This window comes from Homo sapiens, chromosome X (assembly GCF_000001405.40).
Source record: "Homo sapiens chromosome X, GRCh38.p14 Primary Assembly".
Classification (NCBI taxonomy): Eukaryota; Metazoa; Chordata; class Mammalia; order Primates; family Hominidae; genus Homo; species Homo sapiens.
Window position 1 is genome coordinate 112,543,466 of NC_000023.11, and position 12,308 is coordinate 112,555,773.

The window sequence follows — 12,308 nt, forward strand, 5'->3', positions numbered from 1 at the left end:
CAACTGCATTCAGACAATTTGTCTTAACTTATATACTTTCTGATGAAGAATAAAATGTGAACACAACCATGTTTTTATGTTCTACTAAAAGTCCAATGAAAAAAATTGACTTAGGTAAATTCCAAGTTTGCTAAAGCAATATCAGTTATTCAGAGAGAGGATGGTAATGCATGAAGTGATTCTATCATTTCTGATTCTTTACATGGCAACTAAAACCTGTGTAACCCAGCTTTTCAATTATTAAAATATTTTTATCCAGACATCAGATGGCTGCTAGGCTGTCAATCCTTCCATAAAGAATGGGCAAGATCCACCACTGGTATTAAGAAGGAGATAATAGGATTTGTGAATGTGCCGCAAACATGAAGGAATACACACACACACACACAAAGACACACACACACACACACGAGGCCTACATCCTAACCCATATGAGAAGAAAGCTCCAGTTTTGTTCCTGACCACAAGGCCATTTGATCTGCACGCCAAGTGATTGTGGTTGAAACTCTCACCTACCCCTATCCCTCTTCCATCATAATCATGGTTTCCTTTTTCCATCATCTCCTTTTGGGATCTCTTTTCCAGGGGAAAATAACTTCTATGTCAGGAAAAAACCTTCATCAGAAAACTGCTCACGACTTGTCCCTGGTTTCAAAGAATCCCCTCACAATATTCACACATACTGGGAATCAGTGTCAACCATGGCTGACCTATGAGGTAGGGCTGAAGAAACGGGGTGTAGACTATGCCATGAACCACACGCACATAGCATGCTGAATTCCAAGTTAAACAGAGAGTCACTGGCTCCCATTAAATACTATTCTATCTCTTCTTTCAAAGGGAAAGAGCATTTTGTAAAGTGGATTGCATGTGGAGTTTTTTTCTTTTTCTCAATATTTATATTTTGGTTTTTTCTCAGGTTTTTTTCTCATGCTACATAATCTTCTTGGGTTATCTCATCCACTCCTCCAACTGTAACTATTATAAGTAAGCTAAAGATTCCTGAATCTTTATCCCTGATTTTAATGTTTTTCCTGAGCATCAGACTCAAATATCTGAAAGTTGGTTGGCATCTGTGCCGAGGTATCCTACAAAAACATCAAACTCAACAACTCTGTAATCAAAGCCTTAATATCTGATCTTAACTCTTGTTCCAAATCTGTTTTTATTTTTGAATTCTTTATCTCTGTATTAATAGTAGCATCCAGTCACCAAAGCTATAAATGTAAGATTTATTCAACTTCAATTTTTATTTTTTTCCTTTCACCATCCCCTACCACCACTCCAATTATTTGCTACATTTTTCCAAATCTATGTTCTAAATACCTTGTTTATCCTTTCCTTGTACTTATCCTCAGTATTGCTGCCTCAGTTTAGGACATTAATATTTTTCATCTGTTGCAATAATCTCCAGGGTTACTCCTTAATCCATCATCCACAATATTGCATCAATGATACATCTAAATATTTATTTGTTCACTCATTTTCCTCTTTCATTATACTGTGAGCTCTTCAAGGGAAGCAACAGTATCTTATATAATTTTATATCACTAATACCTTGCATAGTGTTTGGCACAGAATAGGCAAGCTGAATGATAAACGGATAACAGGAAAAAAGGAAGAGGAGTAGTCCTCTATCCAGCTACATTTCCAAAAGGTGCTAGAGGTACAATGGTGAATAAAACAGAACTCGACTCCTTTCTTTAGTCACAGGGATGAATCATCACCACACTTTGTCAGTTAATTTTTCTGAAGACTCTTATCTTTGTGGCTTTTCCCCTCATTCCTATTGTCATTGTACCTTGAACTTTTGATACATCACATTGCAATGATGTGTTTACGTGACCGTCTCTCCCAAGTGCATATACAAGTCCTGCAATGTCTTATTTATCTCTTTTATCCTAGCACCTAGGCCAGTACTTGGCATACAGTAGATGATCAATGAATGTAGAGTTAATGAATCAAGTAAAGCAGCTCAGCTGCCATACTCCTGTGGCTAGATAAGGCCGTGGTCATTTCTTTTGCTGTCACCATTCCTACCCCCACAGATACACCAGAAATCTTGGGAGAGCTCTTATTTCCAGAGTTTTGGGTACAGCCATATCCACCTCACTTCAGGTGGCAGAATCCCTTAGAGGTGAATTTGATATAGAGACCCATGATGCTGGCAATCCTTTTGAAATATTACAGTGTATTCCCCACATCTAGCTGAATGAGTGCATGGTAAATGTGGGCATATGGTGAATAGTAGCTTCAGACTCACCTGTTGAGAGTCTGCTTTATCAAGCATTCACCACAAACAGGAATGTTCCAAATAGAATCAAATGATGCGTCACTTTTTTTTGGATTTTTATATTATACTTTAAGTTCTAGCGAACATGTGCACAATGTGCAGGTTTGTTACATAGGTATACATGTGCCATGTTGGTGTCCTGCACCCATCAACCCGTCATTTACATCAGGAATTTCTCCCAATACTATCCCTCCCCCAGCCCCCAACCCCCAAACAGGCCCCAGTGTGTGATGTTCCCCAACCTGTGTCCATGTGTTCTCATTGTTCAACTCCCACTGATGAGTGAGAACATGCGGTGTTTGGTTTTCTGTCCTTGTGATAGTTTGCTGAGAATGATGGTTTCCAGCTTCATCCATGTCCCTGCATAGGACATAAATTCATCCTTTTTATGGCTGCATAGTATTCCATGGTGTATATGTGCCACATTTTCTTAATCCAGTCTATCATTGATGGACATTTGGGTTGGTTCCAAGTCTTTGTTATTGTGAATAGTGCCACAATAAACATACATGTGCATGTGTCTTTATGGAAGCATGATTTATAATCCTTTGGGTATATACCCAGTAATGGGATCTCTGGGTCAAATGGTATTTCTAATTCTAGATCCTTGAGGAATCGCCACACTGTCTTCCACAATGGCTGAACTAATTCACACTCCCACCAACAGTGTAAAAGCGTTCCTATTTCTCTGCAGCCTCTCCAGTATCTGTTGTTTCCTAACTTTTTAATGATTGCCATTCTAACTGGTGTGAGATGGTATCTCATTGTCGTTTGGATTTGCACTTCTCTGATGACCAGTAATGATGAGCATTTCTTCATGTGTCTGTTGGCTGCATAAATGTCTTCTTTTGAGAAGTGTCTGTTCATATCCTTTGCCTACTTTTTGATGGAGTTGTTTGATTTTTTCTTGTAAATTTGTTGAAGTTCTTTGTAGATTCTGGATATTAGCCCTTTGTCAGAAGGGTAGATTGCAAAAATTTTCTCCCATTCTGTAGGTTGCCTGTTCACTCTGATGATAGTTTCTTTTGCTGTGCAGAAGCCCTTTAGTTTAATTAGATCGCATTTGTCTATTTTGGCTTTCGTTGCCATTGCTTTTGTTGTTTTAGTCATTAAGTCTTTGCCCATGTCTATGTCCTGAATGGTGATGCCTAGGTTTTCTTCTAGGGTTTTTATGGTTTTAGGTCTAACATTTAAGTCATTAATCCTTCTTGAGTTAATTTTTGTATAACGTGTAAGGAAGGGATCCAGTTTCAGCTTTCTACATATGGCTAGCCAGTTTTCCCAGCACCATTTCTTAAATAGGGAATCCTTTTGCCATTTCTTGTTTTTGTCAGGCTTGCCAAAGATCAGATGGTTGTAGATGTGTGGTGTTATTTCTGAGGCCTCTGTTCAGTTCCACTGGTCTATATATCTGTTTTGGTACCAGTACCATGATGTTTTGGTTACTGTAGCCTTGTAGCATAGTTTGAAATCAGGTACTGTGATGCCTCTAGCTTTGTTCTTTTTGCTTAGGATTGTCTTGGCTATGTGAGCTCTTTTTTGGTTCCATATGAACTTTAAAGTAGTTTTTTTTCAGCTCTGTGAAGAAAGTCATTGGTAGCTCGATGGGGATGACATTGAATCTAAAATTACCTTGGGCACTATGGCCATTTTCACGATATTGATTCTTCCTATCCATGAGCATGGAATGTTCTTCAATTTGTTTGTGCCCTTTTTTATTTCACTGAGCAGCGGTTTGTAGTTCTCCTTGAAGAGGTCCTTCACATCCCTTGTAAGTTGGATTCCTAGGTATTTTATTCCCTTTGTAGCAATTATTAATGGGAGTTTACTCATGATTTGGCTCTCTGTTTGACTGTTACTGGTGTATAGGAATGCTTTTGATTTTTGCACATTGATTTTGTATCCTGAGACTTTGCTGAAGTTGCTCATCAGCTTAAGGAGATTTTGGGCTGAGACAACAGGGCTTTCTAAATATACAATCATGTCATCTGCAAACAGGGACAATTTGACTTCCTCTTTTCTTAATTGAATACCCTTTATTTATTTCACTTGCCTGATTGCCCTGGCCAGAACTTCCAACACTATGTTGAATAGTAGTGGTGAGAGAGAACATCCTTGCCTTGTGCCGATTTTCAAAGAGAATGCTTTCAGGTTTTGCCCATTCAGTATGATATTGGCTGTGGGTTTGTCATAAACAGCTCTTATTATTTTGAGATATGTTCCATCAATACCTAGTTTATGGAGAGTTTTCAATAAATTCTCAAGAGTTTTGTCCAAGACCTTTTCTGCATCTATTGAGATAATCATGTGGTTTTTGTCTTTGGTTGTGTTTATGTGATGGATTACGTTTATTTATTTGCGTATGTTGAACCAGCCTTGCATCCCAGGGATGAAGCCAACTTCATCGTGGTGGCTAAGTTTTTGATGTGCTGCTGGATTCAGTTTGCCATTATTTTATTGAGGATTTTTGCATTGATGTTCATGAGGGATATTGGTGTAAAATTCACTTTTTTTATTGTGTCTCTGCCAGGCTTTGGCATCACGATGATGCTGGCGTCATAAAATGAGTTAGGGGGGATGCCCTCTTCTATTAATTGGAATAGTTTCAGAAGGAATAGTAACAGCTCTTCTTTGTACCTCTGGTAGAATTCGACTGTGAATCCATCTGCTCCTGGTCTTGTTTTGGTTGGTAGACTATTAATTATTGCCTCAATTTCAGGACCTATTATTGGTCTATTCAGAGACTGAACTTCTTCCTTGTTTAGTCTTGGGAGGGTGTATGCGTCCAGGAATTTGTCCATTTCTTCTAGATTTTCTAGTTTATTTGCATAGAGGTGTTTATAGTATTCTCTGATGGTAGTTTTTATTTCTGTGGGATTGGTGGTGATATCCCCTTGATCATTCTTTATTGCGTCTATTTGATTCTTCTCTCTTTTCTTCTTTATTAGTCTTGCTCTTTCCTCTTGCTCCTCTAGTTCAATTAATTTTTATGTTAGGGGTTGATTTTAGATCTTTCTTGCTTTCTCTTGTGGGGATTTAGTGCTATAAATTTCTTTCTACACACTGCTTTAAATGTGTCCCAGAGATCCGGGTATGTTGTGTCTTTGTCCTCATTGGTTTCAAAGAACATCTTTATTTCTGCCTTCATTTCCTTATTTATCCAGTAGTCATTCAGGAATAGTTTGTTTAGTTTCCATGTAGTTGTGCAGTTTTGAGTGAGTTTCTTAATCCTGAGTTCTAATTTGATTGCACTGTGGTCTGAGAGACAGTTTGTTGTGATTTCTGTTCTTTTACATTTGCTGAGGAGTGTTTTACTTCCAATTATGTGGTCAATTTTAGAAAAAGTGCGAAGTCGTGCTGAGAAGAATGTATATTCTGTTGATTTGGGTTGGAGAGTTCTGTAGATGTCTATTAGGTCTGCTTGGTGCAGAGCTGAGTTCAAGTCCTGGATATCCTTGTTAACCTTCTGTCTCATTGATCTGTCTAATATTGACAGTTGGGTGTTAAATTCTCCCAGTATTATTGTGTGGGAGTCTAAGTCTCTTTGTAGGTCTCTAAGGACTTGCTTTATGAATCTGGGTGCTCCTGTATTGGGTGCATATATATTTAGGACAGTTAGCTCTTCTTGTTGAATTGATCTCTTTAACATTATGTAATGGCCTTCTTTGTCTCTTTTGATCTTTGTTGGTTTAAAGTCTGTTTTATCAGAGACTAGAATTGCAATCCTTGCTTTTTTTTTTTTTTTTTTTTTTTTGTTTTTTTTGTTTTTTGCTTTCCATTTGCTTGGTAGATCTTCCTCCATCCCCTTATTTTGAGCCTACGTGTGTCTCTGCACATGAGATGAGTCTCCTGAATATAGCACACTGATGGTTCTTGACTCTTTATCCAATTTGCCAGTCTGTGTCTTTTAATTGGGGCATTTAGCCCATTTACATTTAAGGTTAATATTGTTATATGTGAATTTAATCCTGTCATTATGATGTTAGCTGTTTATTTTGCCTGTTAATTGATGCAGTTTCTTCATAGTGTCAATGGTCTTTACAGTTTGACATGTTTTTGCAGTTTTTGGTACCACTTGTTCCTTTCCATGTTTAGTGCTTCCTTCAGGAGCTCTTGTAAGGCAGGCCTGATGGTGACAAAGTCTCTCAGCATTTGCTTGTCTGTAAAGGATTTTATTTCTCCGTCACTTATGAAGCTTAGTTTGGCTGGATATGAAATTCTGGGTTGAATATTCTTTTCTTTAAGAATGTTGAATACTGGCCCCCAGTCTCTTCTGGCTTGTAGAGTGTCTGCCAAGGGATCCACTGTTAGTCTGATGGGCTTCCCTTTGTGGGTAACCCGACCTTTGTCTCTGGCTGCCCTTAACATTTTTTCCTTCATTTCAACCTTGGTGAATCTGAAAATTATGTGTCTTGGGGTTGCTCTTCTCGAAGAGTATCTTTGTGGTGTTCTCTGTATTTCCTGAATTTGAATGTTGGCCTGCCTTGTTAGGTTGGGGAAGTTCTCCTAGATAATATCCTGAAAAGCGTTTTCTAACTTGGTTCCATTCTCCCCGTCACTTTCAGGTACACCAATCAAATGTAGATTTGGTCTTTTCACTTTGTCCCATATTTCTTGGGGCTTTTTTCATTTCTTTTCACTCTTTTTTATCTAATCTTGTCTTCTCACTTTATTTCATTCATTTGATCTTCCATCACTGATATCCTTTCTTCCACTTGATCGAATCAGCTACTGAAGCTTGTATATGCATCATGAAGTCCTCATGCTGTGGTTTTCAGCTCCATGAGGTCACTTGAGGTCTTCTCTACACTTTTTATTCTAGTTAGCCATTCGTCTAATATTTTTTCAAGGTTTATACCTTCTTTGCAATGGGTTAGAACACGCTCCTTTAGCTCGGAGAATTTTGTTATTACCGACCTTCTGAAGCTTACTTCTGTCAACTCGTCAAACTCATTCTCCATGCAGTTTTGTTCCCTTGCTGGCGAGGAGCTGTGATACTTTGGAGGAGAAGAGGGGCTCTGGTTTTTGGAATTTTCAGCTTTTCTGCTCTGGTTTCTCCCCATCTTAGTGGTTTTATCTACCTTTGGTCTTTGATGTTGGTGATCTACAGATGGGGCTTTGGTGTGGATGTCCTTTTTTTTTTTTTTTTTTTATTTTTTATTTTTTTGGATGTCCTTTTTTGTTGATGTTGATGGTATTCCTTTGTTTGTTAGTTTTCCTTCTAACAGTCAGGCCCCTCAGCTGCAGGTCTGTTGGAGTTTGCTGGAGGTCCACTCCAGACTCTGTTTGCCTGGATTTCACCAGCAGAGGCTGCAGAACAGCAAATATTGCAGAACAGCAAATATTGCTGCCTGATCATTCCTCTGGAAACTTCATCCCAGAGAGGCACCCGCCTGTATGAGGTGTCTGTCAGCCCCTGCTGGGAGGTGTCTCCCAGTCAGGCTACACGGGGGTCAGGGACCCACTTGAGGAGGCAGTCTGTCCCTTCTCAGAGCTTGAACACCGTGCTGGGAGAACCACTGCTATCTTCAGAGCTGTCAGACAGGGACGTTTAAGTCTGCAGAAGTTGTCTGCTGCCTTTTTTTCATCTATGCCCTCCCTACAGAGGTGCAGTCTAGAGAGGCAGTAGACCTTGCTGAGCTGCGGTGGGCTCTGCCCAGTTTGAGCTTCCCAGCTGCTTTGTTTGCCTACTCAAGCCTCAGCAATGGTGGACACTCCTCCCCCTGCCAGGCTGTAGCCTCACAGGTCGATCTCAGACTGCTGTGCTAGCAGTGAGCAAGGCTCTATGGGCGTGGGACCCCCCGAGCCAGGCACGGGAGGGAATCCCCTGGTCTGCCAGTTGCTAATACTGTGGGCAAAGTGCAGTATTTGGGCGAGAATGTACTGTCCCTCCAGGTACAGTCTGTCATGGCTTCCCTTGGCTAGGAAAGGAAAATCCCCTGACCCCTTGTGTTTCCCAGATGAGGTGATGCCCCACTCTGCTTCAGTTCTCCCTCCGTGGGCTGCATGCACTGTCCAACCAGTCCCAGTGAGATGAACCAGGTACCTCAGTTGGAAATGCAGAAATCACCTATCTTCTGCATCAATCTTGCTGGGAGCTGCAGACTGGAGCTGTTCCTATTAGGCCATCTTGGAAATGACCCTGATGTGTCACTTTTTACTTAACTTCATTAACCACTTTAAATCACCACTTTTTTCTCTCAATATGTAAAGTTTTCCTCTGCTGATTGAAATCCCCTCTCCCTTTCCAGAAGAAGACCCCACAATAGACACTCAATGAGCATTCGATTTTCTTATTAGAAGGAAACTCCACTCCTACCTCATCATTTGCTTTATAGTCTCTTCTCGGGGAAATGCAGGTAACAGAAGGGGCAAGAATGGAGCCTCTTCTTCCACAAACCCCCTCTTACCTCCTTTCTTTCTCCGTTTCCCCCTCACCTACGAACCTGTAAACCACAAATACCACATTTTTGAATTCCTATTTTGGGAGCGCAGCTAACAGACTGCAATTCAATGAAGGCCTTTGTAAGTTGGAGGGACTCCTGAATTTTAAAACAAGAGCTTCTTTTTAGAACTACCTAGGTATAAATGACAACATGGAGAAATGTGGCAGCATCTAATTTCCAGGTGAAGGGAAAATTTAGTGTTTTCCAATAAACAGGGCTTAGAAAATAGCCCCAGCCAGAGATACAAAACAGAATGAAAGCTGAAACTGTATAGAAATTAGTGTAAGATACGACTATGCCTGAGAAACTATGGAATATAATTTTCTAATTCCACACAGGTATCAACCAAGATCCATGATAGCTAACTGTCTTGCCTGTTTCCCTGTGTCCTAATCATAGCTGAACTTCCCTGTGTAGGGAGAAATTATGCCTTTCTAAATAATCTGTGCAGTCTTACCTGCACTTAGTGTACTTTTCTGAGGGACTGCCACTGAGGGACTCCTGCCACCCTGGCTACTCAACCTCGTGGGAAATTATTCAAACCTGTTTTCCCAAGGCCACCCAACCCTACTCATGAGTTTTATTTTCTGCCTTAAATGCATTTCTTAGTATTTTTAGAAGATTACTACATTCTTTCTTGTGTGATTAAGTCAATGGCCACTTCATATCAAAAGGCCAATGATACTTTGTCTTTATCAAAGACTTTATGTTTAAAGATCTTAACACCAGCCCAAGAACAAAACAAAATCCACAAGAGATAGAATGTCCTTACAAGGGAGACTTTTGGAAAACCCAAGAGAATTGAGGCCATGATAGAAAAGTAGAGTGGAAAGTAGATTTCTTCCAGACAATAGGCAGGATTAATTACTGGAAGCTTTTCTTATTTGTTCAAGGATATTATGATAAGAAATACACAGTCTTATTTTGAATGCACCCCCTACACACACACAGATAAGGGCTGCAAGTTGTAAAAATAAATAAGACATCATTTCTCTCTTAAGAAGTTTAAAGACAAGTAGAAATTACATGGTCACTAAGGCTCTACATTATCTGGCCTGCCTCTCTCAACTCATTCTAGACTACCCTTCTCACTATGAACTAGACACTCCCATGTTCTTTCTGTTCACTGAATACACTAAGCTTCTTCCTTCCTTGGTGCCTTTGCATTTTCTTTTTCTTTTACCTGGAATACCCTTACTTTCAAATCTTTCCCTAAATGGCCCCCCTTTATTATCACTAGCTCAGACAAATCTTCCCTAAGCATTCTACATAAAGTAGTTCTTCTCCATTATTTTTTTCAACATCCTGTTTGTTTTCTTCAAATACTTATTATAACTTAACAGTCATTTTATTTGTTTACTCTATTTGTATGTTTGTCTTCCCCACTATGATGCAAATACTATAAGGATGGGCACTGAGTCTTGTTCACCATTGAATCTGCAACAGTTAACACTATGCTTGGCACATAATAGTTGCTTAAAAATACGCGTTGGATGAATGAATGGGATTATAAGGCAAGTATACAAATAACCACTATACAATGCAGTATGGAAAAAATTCAATGAGACAGTGTTGTGGACATTCGCCTCCCCAGAATCTGTTTCCCCCTTCTTTTGGCAATGATCCTTGTCTTCCCCTTCCCAACTTCAGTTCACACCTAGCCTTAGGGGGTGGAACATGTGATCCGGGCCTAACTGAAGCAGTATATTACATTCCTTAGCCACAGTTGTTGATTCAATGGTTGGTACAATCAGAGGAAATTGAGACTTAAGACTTTACTCTTTTTCCCCCTTTGGCAGAGGGGATGAGACTAGAGCTAAAGCAGCTATCTTGTAATCTTATACATACACACACACTGGCTCAGAAAAGAAGCATTATGGAAGCTCATAACTTTGTAAGCCATGAGCTGTGGGTTACAATGGTACTTGAACTGGACCTTGAAAACAGGTAGCATTATTTTTTATACCCTATGATTTTCTCTTTTTAATTTCAAGTTAGAAACAACCTTAGAGACCTAGAAAGGTGAGTCTCAGAGAAATGAATTAGCTTTCTTATAGTCACATGGAAAGTTAATGGCAGTGCCATTAACAATATAATTGTTATTGACAATACATTGACAATACAACTAGTATCCAGATGTATTGTCATCTGGCCTTGTATTCTTTCCACTCATTGAGGTAAAATTTTAAATATGCAGTTTGGCAATGTAGGTAGAGGGATAGAAACATCATGCAAAATTTGGCATAAAAATATGCTCAGAAGATAATAACCTGTCCATGTGGCTAAAGGAAAGGGTGCCAATAGGAGAGTAGCAAAAGATCAAGCAGGGAACATCAGCTAGTGTTAGATTTTAGAAGGCAAAAGGAAGCCATTTACAGTCTTTGAATAGAAGAGCATTATAATTTAGGTACCATGGACGATGAGAAGAATGAAGGCAAAAACACTGGCTAGGTGGTTGTTATACTAGCCTGAGTGTACCATAACATGCGGCAAACCAAGGTAGTTTGGGTTTTTATAAATTGTCATCAGAGATACTTGAACAACTATCTAAAAGCAATTCCAATTATGTTCATTTCTGTCAATGGCTTAATGTATGCACCTGCTGATAGAACAACCATATAAGAACCATCTACTATTAAATCCATGTCAGATTAATTGTTCTCTACATTTTATTTCACTTTAACCAATGAATTTTTTCACGTATGCTCATGCAGCCTTCCAGATTTGGTGCTCATGATGAAGAGAACGAGAAAGTGGAAACTCAGCAAGCCACTTGGCCTTTGCCTTTATTGTTTCTCACTTATCTCCATTTGAGGGTAGCCTTCTCAATCCCCAAAAGCAAGGTGACTTCCTTCCTCCATCCTGGGTAGAAATTTTGGAGTAAATCCCAACAGTAAAAGACAAGGACACTCCCTAAGCTGAAAGCCTTAGCAATGCTGTTCACTTGCTTTTTCTGCTGTAAGAATTAAAATCAGCTACTTTGGGTGGAGGGGCCAATATAACCAACTAGAAACAGCTGCAGTCAGAGGCTCCCACCAAGAAGAATGAAAACAGCAGGTGAATCCCGCACCAGCAACTAAGGTATCCAGGTTCTCTCATTGGGGCTGAGTAGTTGGTTGGTGCAACCCACAGAGAGTGAGGAAAAGTGGGGTGGACTGACAGCCTATCCAGTAGCTGCACAGGACAAGGAGAGCTCCCACCCCCAGCCAAGGGAGGCAGTGAGTGACTGTGCTACCCCGCCCAGGAAACCACACTTTTTCCACAGATCTGCGCAACCCATGGATCAGGAGATCCCTTCATGAGCACACGCCACCAGGGCCTTGGGTCCCATGCATAGAGCTGTGCAGATTCTTGGCAGCCACTCAGCTGGAGACTAAGACTACCAAGTTCCTGGGAAAGTGGTGGCTGCCATCACTTCAGCTGCCTATTGCCTAAGAGGACTGAGCTCCTTGCGGGAGGGGCGGCAGCCACCACTGCAACTCCAGTCTGCCATTTTCCCCTGCCAGTGCAGGGGAGACTGGGTGGTTTGTACCCAGGAGGAATTCCCCACAGCACAGTACAGCAGCTGT